Consider the following 16,882-nt stretch of genomic DNA (forward strand, 5'->3'; position numbering starts at 1 on the left):
CTAGGTCCCAGTCAATCACACTCCAGCCACAAGTTTTGGCCAGTCCTGCCCCAGAGAAGATAAAGCCCTTAAATAAAGATTCACCACGCTCAGTCCAGCTCCACTCACAGCCAAGAGTCAAAGTCGATATTTGCTAAGTGGAAAAGGACAAAAGGAAACAAATTCATCTGCAAGCTCTCCAAACAGACTAGAAAAAGTAATTCCCTACTGCTCACCCCATCCACTTTTAAGAAGGCTAAGCTAATATGTTCTGAGTTTGCAGGAATCTCAACACTTTGGTCTGTGAATCACAAACTAGCAGTTGGGCATTCACAGAGAAACGTGCAGAGTGAATCCTTTAAACGAGAAACAAGACCTGTGCTTGGTGAATCAGGAAAAAAAGAAGAAGAAGAAAAAAAGGGGAAAAAAAACAGGGCCATTTTAAATGACCTTATGATGACATAAAATGACAAGATTATGACACTGATGCAACTTCAAACCAGTAGGGGCTTGGGAAACCTTTGGAAGGAAACTCCTAAAAGGTCACATTATTTCTTGACAATCCACTGAGGAGCTAGGCCATTAAAAGAGCCCTTTTAATCAGAGTGAATTTAAATCTGCACCCAAACCATTAGCCTTTCAGGAACAGGGACAGCACATTAGCATTAGAAGGAGGTTTAGGATCTGGTACCATAGTGGTTACTTTACACGTGGGGAAAATGAGCTCCAGCGAGATTATAGGACTTGATCTAGAGCCTGCAGTGGACTGGAGCCGAGATTAGAATACACCACTCAGCCCCGTCTAGGCAGCTATGGAAAGCAAATGCTTTTGCTAGTGGAACTCACTTCTTGTTCATCCAGCAAGGCAGAGAGGCTAGCCCCAGAGAAGAGGCTGGGGGCAGATGGAAGCATACCCTTCCTCACTCCCTTGGCCCACAACTTTCATGGCTTCCCCTGTCTTTGTGAGTGATAACTGGATTTAGAAAGCAGGCCCTCAGGTACATCCATAAACCCGGAACCCTTTGCTAGGAAGGTAATTGCCTGGATAGTACAGAATCCCCCCACCGAGGGCAATATTCCTACAATGGGTGCCCAAGGCCAGATGAACAACTCAAAGAGGACTGTGAGGTACATATGTGCGTGGGATGATAACAGCTTACCAAGGTCAGCCCTACAGCAAGAGGGGAAGACAATACGAACTCTGCCCGACAGCTGCTAAGGAATGCCAAGATGTTCCCCTGGAAGTCTGGTCCCTGCTGGAATTCTCCTGGGATTCCTCAGCACCCTATCTGGAGTTCACCGTTCACTTTCTTTTCTCTAGAAAGCCAAGCTACTTCTCGATGTGGGGAAAGCAAGGAGCTTCTTTTTCTTGCATTTTGTTGTAAAAGACAAGGACATCCTAGTTACACCATTTTTTCCTGAGCGTTCCGGGGAAGGCTGGCAGGCTGTGTCTAACAGAGCTGCTACCCCAAAATGACATCCTCCAAAGGTCAGAGCCAAATACTAAGTGCTTCAATTAAATGCGAACATTCCTTTTCTGGCGCATGGGTGCTGTTTCATCTGTGTGGGATCTAGTAACCAACAGGAATCGCTCTCCGCTCCAGAAAACTCAAGGAAACATCTAAATAACATCCCACACCTAGTTTCTTCCGGCATAACAAATGCCAATGATATGCAAACACAGACACTTAGCAGAGAAACACCGTCAGAGTGCACAGTGAGCGGGCTTCATTTGTCCCGCTTCTTGTTCCTCTCACTCTGCCGGGGAGGAGGAACGTTAGCCTGCATCCAGGAGTCACTCCCAGTTTAGATCTGCACGTAGTAGGCATTGCCTTTATCCATCCAAAGGATGGAACATGGAGAAAATTAATTAAGTAGAGTTATCAATCAATCAATCAATCAATCAATTATTCTACAAGTTCCTACCTTGGCTAGGCATTGGGGAATCCACAAAGAGGCATGTCTTTGGTAAAATAAATGAAGACAAATGCCGGGCGCGGTGACTCACAACTGTAATCCCAGCACTTTGGGAGGCCGAGGCGGGCAGATCACCTGAGGTTGGAGTTCGAGACCAGCCTGACCAACATGGAGAAACCCCACCTCTACTAAAATACAAAATTAGTCAGGCATGGTGGCGCATGCCTGTAATCCCAGCTACTCAGGAGGGTGAGGCAGGAGAATCGCTTGAACCCAGGAGGAGGAGGTTGCAGTGAGCCGAGATCACGTCATTGCACTCCAGCCTGGGCAACAAGAGCGAAACTCCATCTTAAAAAAAAAAGGGGGGGGGAGGGGGCTGGGCGCAGTGGCTCACACCTGTAATCCCAGCACTTTGGGAGGCCGAGGCAGGCGGATCACGAGGTCAAGAAATCAAGACCATCATGGCCAACCAACATGGTGAAACCCCATCTCTACTAAAAATACAAAAAATTAGCTAGGCATAGTGGTGCATGCCTGTAGTCCTAGCTACTCGGGAGGCTGAGGCAGGAGAATCGCTTGAACCTGGGATGTGGAGGTTGCATTGAGCCGAGATCACACCACTGCACTCCAGGCCAGGCGACAGAGTGAGGCTCTGTCTCAAAAAAAAAAAAAAATCTCTCAGTCTGCCTGTTGTCTGTCTTCACCTACCAGAATGTATGCACCACCAGAATATACGCACCAGGAGAAGAGGGAACCCTGCAGTTTGCTTAACACTGCATCATATCAGGGTATTTCCCAGCCCATGACACACAAAGAATATTTTCTTGAATGAATAATAAATACACTAATGAACTAACAAAGAAAGCATATCAGAACACCAATGCAGAGAGTAATATTATCCTTGAATCCATTCCAATTTGAAACATAATAATAAAAAGCAAGTCCTTTTCAAAATGTAGCACAATAACTATGATTTGTAGGAAATTACTTGAAATCTACAACATGATGTCTAGAGTAGGAGGCAGAAGGAAAATGGCAGCCCCAGAGCTGGTGTAGTCAGGAGGAGCATCCAGGGGCAACGATCTGGACAGACCTTGAAAGATAGGTAGGATTTAAGCAGGGAGCAAACTAGAAAAGGGGAGAAAAGGGTATTCCAGAACTTGAGGGCCAAAATGAAAGAAAGCCTTGATAGCACCCAGGCATCCAATTCTTAGGGATCCCATATCCTATCAGGAGCAGGACTGGGCACAGGGGGTCTTGGCAGTGCATACGACAGGCCCCTTCTTCTGTGAGCTTCCACTCCAGCTAGTAAAATCAGATTTGTAAATATCGACTTTTGCATTAATAAATTATTTCCTAATTACATGGTAGGAGCTCTGAATACTTGCTGGCTGGAAGGAAATCCAGAAGACTATTTAACATTGATTAGAAAGTTGAGTTTAAGGTGGAAGCAGGAATCTGCCTTTGGGGTAAACCCCTCTATTGTAGGAAGGGCAACCTTGATGGGCTCTCCCAATCATGAGGATAAAAGTCAATTTCTCCTCCTCTTCCTTAGCAGAACTCCTGATATTGGTAAAGTCTTCCAAGGTCAAATACACAGGACTGGGACACTGAGGAATCTGGCTAATACTGTCAAAAGCCACCTCACCAGGAGCATATCATTCCAGTGTAATTTCTTTATTTTAATCATGCCTCCCACCTACCTAAGCCACTATTATTGGAGAATATATCTGGCAAGTTAATAGGAAACACTTAGAGTGTAGGATCTTACTCTATTTTCTGTTGCTTATAACAGAATCCCTGAAACTGAATCATTTATAAAGAAAAGGAATTTATTTCTTACTGTGGTAGACACTGGAAAGTCCAAGGTCAATGGGCCACATCTGGTGAAGGCCTTCTTCCTGATGGGGACTCTGTCTACAGAGGTCCAAGGCAGCACAGGGCATCACATGGCAATGGAGGGGGCTGGGTATGCTAACATGCTTTCTCAGGTCTCTCTTCCTCTTCTTCTTTTTTTTTTTTTTTGAGATGGAGTCTCGCTCTGTCGCCCCGGCTTGAGTGCAGTGGCACGATCTCGGCTCACTGCAACCTCTGCCTCCTGGGTTCAAGCGATTCTCTCACTTCAGCCTCCTGAGTAGCTGGGACTACAGGCGCCCGCCACCACGCCCAGCTAATTTTTTGCATTTTTAGTAGAGACGGGGTTTCACCATGTTAGCCAGGATGGTCTCGATCTCCTGATCTCATGATCCACCCATCTTGGCCTCCCAAAGTGCTGGGATTACAGGTGTGAGCCATCGCACCCAGCCCTCTCTTCCTCTTCTTAAAAAGCCACCAGACCGGCCAGGCGCAGTGGCTGTAATCCCAGCACTTTGGGAGGCCAAGGAGGGCGGATCACGAGGTCAGGAGATTGAGAAGATCTGGCTAACACGGTGAAACCCCGTCTCTACTAAAAATACAAAAAATTAGCCGGGCGTGGTGGCAGGCGCCTGTAGTCCCAGCTACTCAGGAGGCTGTGGCAGGAGAATGGCATGAACCCGGGAGGCAGAGCCTGCAGTGAGCGGACTCCAGCCTGGGCGACAGAGCAAGGCTCTGTCTCAAAAAAAAAAGCCACCAGATCCACTCCCATGAGAACACATTGACCCATTAATGCATTCATGACAGCAGACCCCTCGTGGTCCAATCAGCTCTTAAAGGACCCAGCTTTCAATGTTACCTCATTGGGGATTAAGTCTCCAATACATGAAATTTGGAGGACACTTTCAAACCACAGCAATAAGTTTAAAAGTAAAGATTCACAAGACTGCATGCAGGTTAAGCAATTTTGAAGTATTCCATTCTTACCCATGGCAGGTCTTCCTAGCCAAGTACACTGGGTTCCAATTATCCCCACAGCATTTGGTTCTTCTAGAGCAGAGAGAGTGTATTTTTGAAAAGCCTCCATTCCACAAAAGCATCTGGCTCCTGAGACCTCTTCAGTACAGCCTCAGCCACTGGAGCCTGGGACATGACATCATTGCTTCAGGGCCATAAGTTACTAGGGCTCCCCCAAAAGTTTGGCTGTGGAGACTGGGGAATCAGAGATATGCAGGGGTAGTGGTCTCTCTCTCTTTTTTTTTTTTTTTTTGAGATGGAGTTGTGCTCTTGTCACTCAGACTGGAGTGCAGTGACGCAATCTCAGCTCACTGCAACCTCTGCCTCCCAGGTTCAAGTGATTCTCCTGCCTTAGCCTCCCAGGTAGCTGGGATTACAGGCACATGCCACCACACCCAGTGAATTTTGAATTTTTAGTAGAGGTGGGGTTTCACCATGTTGGCCAGGCTGGTCTTGAACTCCTGACCTCAGGTGATCCACATGCCTCGACCCCCCAAAGTGCTGGGATTACAGGCATGAGCCACCGCGCCCGGCCTGGTAGTGGTCTCTTAGCCCACTGTTCCCTGCCAAGGTAGTGCAGACAGAGTGGATCCCAGTCTCCTCCAGATTTCTCAGCTGAGTAGAGATGTGGCACAAAGGAATAAGGAAGCGTCACGTATAGGAGGGGCCATGAGATTCCTCTACCTTCTTTCTGTTTCCCAGACCTGCCCCATTTCCTAGACCTGGGAGTCCCTAAGCTAACTTGGAGTTTAGAGGCAGCTCAAGTGCCTACTCTACTTGGAGATAGCCTTCCCCTGATTCATGGCCAAGAGCACTCATCCTCTATAGCTCCTTGAAAAGCAATCCTGGTGTCATAGACACATGACCATGGTATCAAGCTATCTTTTCAGCAACAGCAGGAAAACTTCCGAGTGGTTCCCCTTTCCAAGAAACCTTTGCTGAGAAAGCTTCCTTAACTTTGTTTATAAAATGGGCTCTATCCTTTTGCTTAACTTTTCAGTAATATCTGTGATATGGTTTGGCTGTGTCCCCACCCAAATCTCATCTTGAATTGCAGTTCTCATAATCCCCATGTGTCACGGGAGGGACCAAGTTGGAGGTAATTGAATCATGGGGGCAGTTACCCCCATGCTGCTTTTCTGTTTTTGTTTTGTTTTGTTTTGTTTTTGAGACGGAGTCTTGCTCTGTCGCCAAGCTGGGGTACAATGGCACGATCTCAGCTCACTGCAACCTCCACCTCCGGGGCTCAAGCGATTCTCCTGCCTCAGCCTCTCGAATAGCTGGGATTACAGCTGCCCACCACCACGCCCGGCTAATTTTTGTACTTTTGGTAGAGATTGAGTTTCACCATGTTGGCCAAGCTGGTCTCGAACACCTGACCTCGTGATACGCCCACCTTGGCCACCCAAAGTGCTGGGTCTGCAGGCGTGAGCCACCGCACCTGACTTCCATGCTGCTTTTCTCGTGACAGTGAGTGAGTTCTCCAGAGATCTGATGGTTTTATAAGGGCCTTTTTGCTCAGGACTTCTCCTTGCAGCCGCCACGTGAAGAAGGATGTGTTTGCTTCCCCTTCTGCCATGATTGTAAGTTTCCTGAGGCCTCCCCAGCCATGCAGAACTGTGAGTCAATTAAACCTCTTTCCTTTATAAATCACCCAGTCTCTGGCATGTCTTTGTTTTTTTTTGTTTTGTTTTGTTTTGAAGACAGAGTCTTGCTCTGTTGCCAGGCTGGAGTGCAGTCGCACGATCTTGGCTCACTGCAACCTCCGCCTCCCAGGTTCAAGCGATTCTCCTGCCTCAGCCTCCCAAGTAGCTGGGACTACAGGCACCCGCCACCACTCCCAGCTAATTTTTGTATTTTTAGTAGAGACGGGTTTTCAACACATTGGGTAGGATGGTCTCAATCTCTTGACCTCGTGATCCACCCTCCTCCCAAAGTGCTGGGATTACAGGCGTGAGCCACCGCGCCTAGCTTGAGTATGTCTTTATTAGCAGCATGAGAACGGACTAATACAATCCAGAAGAACTTTTCAAGGGGGTCCCACAAGGTTATGTTTTGTACCACTGTCTGCACTCAAAAGAGACTCCCTGAAACTCACAGGGTTCAGAGTTGCAAAGAATGTGAGGTGTGATCTAATACCTCCAACTTGAGCTATTTATCATTTCAGGTACTGAGAGGCTATGTTACATCCTCTCCAATTGATGAAGATTTGTTCTTAATCATTGACTGAGGGAGAAGACACTTGGAATTTTCCATTTAAATCTCAACTCAAGAGCTTTCTAGATGCAGTAAGCTAGGACATCACTCTGGATTGTATTGTAAAATTAATTCAAACATTGTTTCCAGTTTTTAGGTTTACATAAAACAGTGTCCTTTAAGACAGGCTGATTATTTGAACAGAATATCAGGGTCATTCCCATCTCCATCTCATTAGCTTTATTCACTTATGCACATGCACACACAAAGTATCTACCAGCTGCCCCCCACATAAGTCACAGTGTGATCGTCACTGAGCAGGTGGGTAGGGAGGAGTCAGCCAGCAAACACAGGGCTGCCCCTCCAGGAACTTCCTGGTATTCCAGCCTCCAGCAACGACTGAATGCCTCTAGTCTGCAGCTTCCACTTCATTTTCTTCCTTTTCATCTCTTTTCCATTAGTATCTGTGCCTTCCGAAATTACAACTTGGTCGTCTAAGGCATTCAAGTTGATCCGCTTAAGGCAAACTGAGATGTGAGTAACCAATACATCCAGACCTCCCGGGGGCCGCCATTTTGCTGACAAGTATGACTTTGCCACAAACTAAAATGAAGCTCCACTTATTTCTCCTCTTTTGCATCCTCTTCCAATTGACGGCAAATGCAGGGAATATGTTTTTCGTGCCAGTTGCTTTCTAAGGCCTCTTGACTGCTCAGATAACTGTTTTGCCCAAGAGCACTAACCCTGTCCATGTTGGAAACGTGCTTGGAGTCCTAATTCAGGGCCCATTCTAGGCATTTGGATTTGAGAGATGAATCAAGACCTTGCCCACCAGGAGCCCACAGCCTAGTGAAGCACACCACCCGCAGCAGCAGTTACAACACAGGAAGTGCTGCAAGGGAGGTGTGAACAGACTCTCACCAGGGACCACAGGCTACAAGGCCTCCCTAACTAAAGCCACCCCTCTAGCACGGCACAGAGAATTACATGGGACTTGGGGCAGCTGGCCAAGGACCTGTACCACTCCCTTTGGGTTTTACATTTCTCTCGAGGGTTTTCTCATTTCAATTACTGTTCCAGTCACCACACTGATCCCCTCAGGCCTACGGCAAGGTGGGGGCACACTGCTTTCATTACTGAAAAAGTAAGGCAGAAGAAAGGGAGAACATCTGAATCTTCATCTATGGAATGGGGAGGAAAAACAGTAGCTACAGTGTCTGCACATAAAGACGTGATCACAGCGCCTGACACAAAAGCAGCGTTAGCTTTCGTTGCTGGGACCTACCACTGTTGGGCGATGGTAATAATCATGAACTCAGATCCAATCCAGGACGGAGCCTGCTGGAGCCTGCCCGGGACTCCCAAGCACAGGCAGCTGCACATCACACCCCCTTCTCACGGTGGCTCTCCACCCAGACTCAGACACAGCTCTCTGCTAGGGAAGAAAGTGAGGGCTGGCCCGGCAGGACAAGCCCACATCCAGCAGAGACTGGTGTGATCCCACAGCTTCGCCTGTTCCCGGGGTGCGTGTCGCCATCCACCACCTGCTGTAACTCTGAGATCCTTGTGGGCAGGAAACATGGCTTCATTACACGTTGTAGAAAAGGGGCTGGGAACATGGGAAATTTCTAATCTGGAAGGGGCTCTTGGAGAGAGTTATGTCCAGCTGTTTCACTTTAAAATACAATTACTGATGACATATTTTTTAAATGCCGAAAAATTAAAAGAAAATTTAAATGGTCCACCTAATCCCCGACATAAACGGATTAGCCAAATGTAAATTTTTTTTAAGTGATAAACATGCCCTTTAAAAAAAAAAAGGCAAAACAGCACAGGAAGGAAGAAAATTAAAGCTAAAACATTTTGTTCCCTCTTGCTTTTTTTTTTTTTAAACATATGGGGTCTCACTGTGTTGCCCAGCTGCAGTCTCAAACTCCTGGGCTCAAGCTCCAGCAGTCCTCCCTCCTTAGCTTCCCAAATAGCTGAGACTATAGGTAAGTGCCACCAAGCCCACCAAGCTCCCAGCTAATTCTTCTTCTTCCTTTTCTTTTCTTTCTTTGTTTTTTTTTTTTTTTTTTTTTTTTGGGTAGAGATTAGGTCTCACTATGTTATTCAGGAGGGTCTCAAACTCCTGGCCTCAATCCTTCCTCCCACCTCAGCCTCCCAAAGTGCTGAGATTACAGGCATGAGCTAGCACTCCTGGCATTTTCCTCCTGCCCTGAGCCCCCAGTCCTTCCTACTTTTTTCTTGTGGATCCTGCCAAAAATAATAATTAAAATATGAGCATATATATGCATGCACATATATACATGCATCTACATAATTTGATTATTTTTTTTTTTATAAATAGGATCCCACTTTCCTGAAACTTGCTTTTTGTACTTCAGGCAATAAGCAAAGTTCTGAAGCCAAAATACTTGGTTTACAGGCTGGGCCCAGTGACTCACTTCTGTAATCTCAGCACTTTGGGAGGCTGGGGCGGGCGGATCACCTGACGTCAAGAGTTCAAGACCAGCCTGGCCAACGTGGTGAAACCCCGTCTCTACTGAAAATACAAAAATTAGCCAGGCATGGTGGGAGGCACCTGTAGTCCCAGCTACTTGGGAGGCTGAGACAGAAGAATTGCTTGAACCAGGGAGGTGGAGGCTGCAGTGAGCCGAGATCAAGCCACTGCACAACATCCTGGGTGACAGAGGAAGGCTGTGTCTCAAAACACACACACACACACACATACACACACACACACTTGGTTTGTACTCCACACTCCCATGCCAATTTCTAACTACAGTATGATCTTGAGCAGATTATATAACTTGACTGTGCCTCAGCTTTTTGATCTGAATGATGGGGATAGATGAGTTAACACACGTAAACTTCTTAGAATGCAGACAGCACTCAAATATGTATTGCTATTATTTACTCCTGTTATATCTTCGTACCCCCTCCCTATCCTCCTATTTAAATGCTGCCCAGTGTGCCAGGACGTATCATTTGGGCTTTGAACCAGTCCCCTGGTGGTGAATATCGAGGTTGTATCCAGTTTGGCTGTTGCTGTTACAAACAATATTAAGACATCCTTATTCACCAGTTGTTAATACTGTAGTGAGAAAATCCACCAGACATATTCCAAAGGGTGAACTTGCTGGGTCTGTGCATCATACATTTTGAGAGACGTCGCCAGATGCCCTCCCAAAATGCTCTGCCCATATACCCTGACACAAAAGCCAAGTGAACGTGCCTTTTCCCAGCCCCTCTCCAGAACTGGATATTCTCAAATTTTGCATCATATCTGCTCTCTAATAAGCAAGTGACAAAATGGCACTCCTTGTGTTGATTTGAACCTCTTTTATTATGAGTGAGGTTGAGAACTCTTTAATTTGCAGATGAGAGAAACTGAGACCCAGGGGTCCCCTAACTGGCTTCAAGTGTGACCCTGAGGTAGTCAGTGGCACAGACAAGCCTGAGGTCAGAACACCTGTCGGGGATCACCCTAAGATGCCCAGACCCACAGCACCAGGAGGAGTGTCTGACAGCCATCGGCCAATCCCTGCCTCCTCCCCTCTCCAAGGCATACCCAGTTGGGTTAGGGTGACCAGCAATCCCAAGGCAGGCAGAAGTTTCAGCCCTGTCCTCAGTCCAGGAAGCAGGGTTGAGGGGCTTCTCCAACTGAAGGTTGCTGCCTGCAGCTAGTAGATAAGGAAAGCCTTGTCTCCACACTGCCTGAGGTTCAAGGGTGTTTTTCTCTTATTCCTGTTATCTCAAGTCTCTGTTCTGTCTTGGAGCAAAGAGTTCATGTTGTGACTGGGCTTTCGTTTTCTTTCTCCACCTCCTCTGTGGACCTGGACTTCTTTAACTGGGAAAGAAAGCTCCTTGGAGTAGGAAATGGGTCTGCTTTGATCGCCCTCTGGGTGCCTTGCCCCAGTGGATGAACGGAGCAGGAGCTGATGGACTAGCTCTGGGGGAGAGAGAGTGAGGTCTAGGTGATGGGCTCTGCTACTCCCTGGCACTGTGTCTTTGGGTAAATCCCTCTAGGTCTCACTGTCTTCATCCGAAGGAGAGAAAAGGCACCTAACACGCAGGATCGTTCCATGTACACGTCCGTGCTTTGAAAACTGTGAAGTGCAACACAAACAGAGGATCCTGGTGAATGTCAGCGAGTTGGTCGCCACGGGCTTCCACGCAGGTGCGTTTTTTTAAAGAGGCAACCAGCTTCAGTCATGCAGGCAGGGCCTGCCCCTGTTTTGAGATATTCCTGAAGCTGTCCACCTCCCACCCAAGCACACCAGAACCAAGCTGATCATCATAACACAGACTGAGTCGTGGTTTCATCTTGATTGGGCAAAAAAGTATTTCATAAGCGTCTATTTATACACCAGCTAAACTAGATGTTCAGCAAATCCTCATTTGTTTGGCAGACGCTGGAAGCTCAGTCCTACTTAGTGGAATTTCTCAGCCAACTGATACTCATCACACATTAGAATTAGAAAACAAAACTGGCTATTTTGAAGGGAATCAACCTACAATTATTACATATTTCTCTCTGACTTTCTAAAAAAAAAAAAAAGCATTAAATGCAGTTCTACTCTTTTTCTTATCTCACTGCCACCACCATAAACACCAATTATTCTACTGACTCTAGAATCATAAGAGCCTGTTCTACCACTCATAGCTTTGAGACTTTCGGCAAATTATTTAACCTCTTTGTGCCTCAGTTTTCTCATCTATGAAAGAGGATCAGAAAACCAAGTTAATTAGGAAATGTGGCTGCAATGAGAACACAAAACCAGCAATCTACTTAAAATTTAGTGCATGGATTTGGAGATAACTGTTTTTCTCTCTGAGATATTTTTTATTCCTACCCAACTCCTGGCTATATTCCAGATAGCTGAATTTGCTGGCAAAGTAAACATCTCTTATGTGGACATGAATTTCTTTTGGGGCCTTGAAAAACATAACTAAGGCCCCCATGGAACGCATTATGCCAACAAGCCAGGCACAGACACAGGCACTCCGTCCCAAGCACGGAGATTTTCAGCCAATGCCTCGGAGCGGCCCAGTAGAGCTAACCTAAATGAACAGAGAGAACCAAGTCAAGGAAAGCAAAAGCTTCCCTGACCTTCATGAGGGGGAGGAACCTTCTCTACCACTCAGCAATAAGTAGAGACCAATGTCCAAGCCAACTGGGCTTGGTCCTTGCAAGGAGAAACATGCAGATCCCAATAGGGGAAATGAAATAAAAAGAATGACTTAAAACACTGGGACAATCCACAGTGAACATGTAGGAGGGAAGTTAAGGCACTGAGGCCATTCCAGTTTTCTGTCTAGGAGGAGCATGAAAGTGGCCCTCTAGTTGGCCAGGAGGCGGGAGGCTGCAGGTTGCCATGCAATGCATAGCAAGCGCACAGTATGTTTGCTTGAGTGGCTTATATTTTTGAGCAAAAGAGATTATGGGCACCTACCTAGACCCTTGAGCCACCCTGTGGTTCAGACCCTAGAAAGGACAGTGCTGAAGAGCTGAAGCCACCCTACCTGAGAGTAATCCATTTTCCTCAGAAGGATGTAAAGAATTCTCCTGGGCCGGCTGTGGTGGCTCGTGCCTGTAGTCCCAGCACTTTGGGAGGCCAAGGTGGATGGATTGCTTGAGCCCAGGAGCTCAAGACTAGCCTGGATAACATAACAAGACCTGTTATGTCTACAGTTTTTTTATATTTTTTAATTAGCCAGGTGGCACACACCTGTAGGAGTGGGAGGATCACTTGAGCCTAGGAGGCTGAGGTTGCAGTGAGCCGTGACTGCACCACTGCACTCCAGCCTGGGAGACAGAGCAGGACCTTGTCTCAAAAAAAAGACTTTAAAAAAAATTATCTTGCTTCAGTTGAGCTAGGTCTCTGGAGTTCTATCTACAATACTGAAGACACATACTACAAACATCACAAGGCCATTTATAAATGCTTCAGCTCTCTCTCCTTCAACTACACAGTTGTATTACATTTCCCTGCCTGCCTGAAGTTAGGGGTGGCCAGCTATGGCCAATAAAATGTGTGACACGTGTCACTACTGGACAACTTTAGGAACCAGCACCTGGTTCGTCATTTGCACCTTTCCCTCGGCCACGGAGATGAGGAATGACCCATCAGCTTCGATCCAGGAATGGGAATAAAGATGACTTGGAACAGAGTCCTCATCAATCTTCAACAGAAATGTAGAGTAAGCAAGAAAAGAAACTTCCGGCCAGGTGTGGTGGCTCACGCCTGTAATCCCAACACTTTGGGAGGCCAAGGTGGGAGGATCACCTGAGGTCAAGAGTTCGAGACCAGCCTGGCCAACATGGCAAAGCCCTGTCTCTACTAAAAATACAAAAATTAGCTGGCATGGTGGCGGGTGCCTGTAATCCCAGCTACTCTGGAGGCTGAGGCAGGAGAATCGCTGGAACCCAGCAGGCGGAGGTTGCGGTGAGCTGAGATCATGCCACTGCACTCCAGCCTGGGCGACAGAGTGAGAACCCATCTCAAAAAAAAAAAAAAAGAAAGGAAACTTCCCTATTTTATGCCACTGAGTTTTGGGGTTTGTCTGTTACCCCACAACCCAGCCAACTCTGAGTGACACATGTGCACAACTCAGCCGCCCAGAAGTGACCTTCTTCTTCCAAGTTGGTAATTGTCAAGTGTTTAATTGCATTAAGATAGATTGTGCAGGCCGGGCGCGGTGGCTCACGCCTGTAATCCCAGCACTTTGGGAGGCCAAGGCGGGCAGATCACGAGGTCAGGAGATCGAGACCACCTTGGCTAACATGGTGAAACCCCATCTCTACTAAAATTACAAAAAAATTAGCTGGGCGTGGTGGCGGACGCCTGCAGTCCCAGCTACTAGGGAGGCTGAGGCAGGAGAATGGTGTGAACCCAGGAGGTGGAGCTTGCAGTGAGCCGAGATCGCGCCACTGCACTCCAGCCTGGGTGACGGAGCAAGACCCCATCTCAAAAAAAAAAAAAAAAAAAAAGATAGATTGTGCATCCTTAAAGTACACAGTACTAGGAACTCAGTTGGTCATTATATATGTAGACATAATTTTTAATTATCAGATGCCAGACTTCTTTCCAAAAGGTAAATTATAAAGCTGAGCTCTCAAACAATTTCCATAACCCTTCTGTGAGGTTAATTTATCACCAATTCCTTTCCTGAACTCAGCAAACACATTTCCAGGGGCAAAGTCAGACAGTAAAACCTGCTCCAAATGCATTTGCATTGCCCACCAATGGAGGAGAAGGTGATCATTTTTATTTTTATTTTTTATTTTTTTTGAGATGGAGTCTCGCTCTGTCACCCAGGCTGGAGTGCAGTGGCGCGATCTCAGCTCACTGTAAGCTCCATCTCCCGAGTTCACGCCATTCTCCTGCCTCAGCCTCCCAAGTAGCTGGGACTACAGGCGCCTCCCACCACGCCTGGCTAATTTTTTGTATTTTTAGTAGAGATGGGGTTTCACCATGTTGGCCAGGATGGGCTTGATCTCCTGACCTCGTGATCCTCCCGCCTCGGCCTCCCAAAGTGCTGGAATTACAGGCGTGAGCCACCGTGCCCGGCCAGAAGGTGATCATTTTAATAAATTCCAATTTCTGATATGGAAGATTTACTCCACAACGCTTTTTTTTTTTTTTCCTTTTGCTCAAGCTGGAGTGCAGTGGCGTGATTGCAGCTCACTGCAGCCTCGAACTTCTGTGCTCAACCAAACTTCTGTGTGGTGCTCGCACCTCAGCCTCGCAAGTAGCTGGGACCACAGGCGCACACCATCATACCTGGTTAATTTTTTTGTAGAGATAGGGTCTTCCTTGTTGCCCAGGCCAGTCTCAAGCTCCTGGACTCAATGGATCCTCCTGCCTTGGCCTCCCAAAATGCTGGGATTACAGGCACAAGCCACCACAGTTGGCCTCCACGACACTCTTGACCAACAGCTACATTCACTCTTGTAGATGTCAGGATGGGCTGGCCAAATGAGAATTATTTTATTTTCCTGGTAAATCCAGAGTTTTAAAACTCCAGATGTTCTTTGAACATTACCATGGGTTGACACCCACTAGAGCCAAGTTCAACATCATTATCTCATTTCTCCAAAGGCATATTTCAATTTGTCATTTTATTTAATACACAAAACATGAATTTAGGACAAAATTTGTAGTATTCTCCCACGCTAAAAAAAAAAATAAATCCACAAATTAAGTTTTTCCATAGCAAAATACATCAAAACACATATGTCTTACACAGTTGCAATGCAGTCTAAGAAAGTCTGCTAAGCTGTGACCGATAACATCTTCATCATTGCTACGTAACAGACCCTACAGACACAGATGCTGTTTACACAAACCTACTGATTTACTCATCTTAGGTCAGATTTACTGTTTTAGCCATCATTACTTTTTTCACTTATAAATCAGAACCAATCTAGCCATTTTAGTGGCCAAAATAACTATACCATGATCTAATTTCTTAGATTGTTAAAATAACCAGATCAGAGTGAGTCACTGCTGGTGAATCAATAAAGTGCTTGGAAATAAACAGGGGGAAAAAGACATGACCAACCAATTGGCTATCAAAGCCAAAGGACCTGCCCACCACCACATCCTCACCCCAAGCCTTGTAATTTACACCTACATTCTGATATTCCAAGGTGCCGAGGGCCAGTCTGTAAGTACCTTGATGTATGTGTGGCAGAACCACTTGGTTATAATAGTCAATTAAATTATTAATGAAAGAACTGTACAAATAAAAGCATCATGCTCTTTTATGGAGTAATAATTATTATCTTAAGCAATGCAAATTGAATAATAAGAATCGTCAGGACAGTTCAGTGATAAGCTAACAATTTGCGGCAATCAGACCAAACATCTCTGCTCAAGCTGTCTAATAAAATAAATAGCAGCTTGTTGACATTTTTGTTCAGTTGAACACACAGACAACCAGAGGCTACTTGTATGTCTCGGGTAGAAGAGCCAAGAAAGAAGTGGAGACTGAATGATATAAAAGTGGAACCAGTTCTAATGGTGGTAATTTAGATGTTTACATATCTTTTTATTTATTTATTATTATTATTTTTTCTTGAGATGCCGTCTTGCTCTATCACCCAGGCTGGAGTGCAGTGGCACAATCTCAGCTCACTGCAACCTCCGCCTCCTGGGTTGAGGCAATTTTCCTGCCTCAGCCTCCCGAGTAGCTGGGATAACAGGCACCCGCCACCACGCCCGGCTAATTTTTGTATTTTTAGTAGAGATGGAGTTTCATCATGTTGGCCAGGCTGGTCTCGAACTCCTGACCTCGTGATCCATCCGCCCCAGCCTCCCTAAGTGCTGGGATTACAGGCGTGAGCCACCGCGCCCGGCCAGGTGTTTCCATATCTTAAGGAAACAACAAATCCTATAAAGTGTCCCAGAATCAAATGACATTATTTATACACACCCATATATATAAAGACATAGATATTTACTTATACATATGCATTCCATGAATAGACCTATATATAAAACAATATTGTAACCAAGTATAATGTTGCAGTTACATTCATGTAAAGAAATAAATCAAATGCTGTGGTAATAATAGGCCATCTCTAGTAAGAAGTAGTAGTTAGAATAGTAGGTCATCACTGCTAGGAGCAGTGGCTCACGCCTGTATTTCCAGCACATTGGGAGGCTGAGGTGGGAGGATTGCTTGAGCTCAGGAGTTCAAGATCAGCCTGGACAACCTAGGGAGACGCCATCTCTACAAAAATTAAAAAATTAGCTGGGCATGGTGGCACATGCTTGTAGCCCCAGCTACTTGGGAGGCTGAAGTGGGGAAATCACTTGAGCCCCGGAGTTTAAGGCTGCAGTGGGCTATGATCGCACCACAGCACTCCAGCCTGGCCAGCAGAGTGAGACCCTATCTCAAAGAAAAA

At 46.2% G+C, this 16,882-nt stretch overlaps 1 protein-coding gene across 1 annotated transcript in view, besides 3 other annotated features; it reads right to left on the minus strand.

Moving 5' to 3' along the window:
• FOXN3 (forkhead box N3) overlaps positions 1 to 16,882 on the minus strand; it is a 462,989-nt gene that overhangs the window by 302,605 nt on the left and 143,502 nt on the right. The window lies entirely within an intron of this gene.
• Positions 4,238 to 4,737: an enhancer, noted in NCBI's record as "H3K4me1 hESC enhancer chr14:89929363-89929862 (GRCh37/hg19 assembly coordinates)". NCBI's record gives its function as "activates a minimal SCP1, AML or CMV promoter by ChIP-STARR-seq in naive H9 embryonic stem cells {active_cell/tissue: H9 hESC(naive)}" and the evidence as "EXISTENCE:reporter gene assay evidence [ECO:0000049][PMID:30033119]".
• Positions 7,104 to 8,023: an enhancer, noted in NCBI's record as "H3K4me1 hESC enhancer chr14:89932229-89933148 (GRCh37/hg19 assembly coordinates)". NCBI's record gives its function as "activates a minimal SCP1, AML or CMV promoter by ChIP-STARR-seq in primed H9 embryonic stem cells {active_cell/tissue: H9 hESC(primed)}" and the evidence as "EXISTENCE:reporter gene assay evidence [ECO:0000049][PMID:30033119]".
• Positions 8,024 to 8,943: an enhancer, noted in NCBI's record as "H3K4me1 hESC enhancer chr14:89933149-89934068 (GRCh37/hg19 assembly coordinates)". NCBI's record gives its function as "activates a minimal SCP1, AML or CMV promoter by ChIP-STARR-seq in naive and primed H9 embryonic stem cells {active_cell/tissue: H9 hESC(naive and primed)}" and the evidence as "EXISTENCE:reporter gene assay evidence [ECO:0000049][PMID:30033119]".

The sequence above is a fragment of the Homo sapiens genome, chromosome 14, assembly GCF_000001405.40.
Source record: "Homo sapiens chromosome 14, GRCh38.p14 Primary Assembly".
In the NCBI taxonomy this organism is placed as follows: domain Eukaryota; kingdom Metazoa; phylum Chordata; class Mammalia; order Primates; family Hominidae; genus Homo; species Homo sapiens.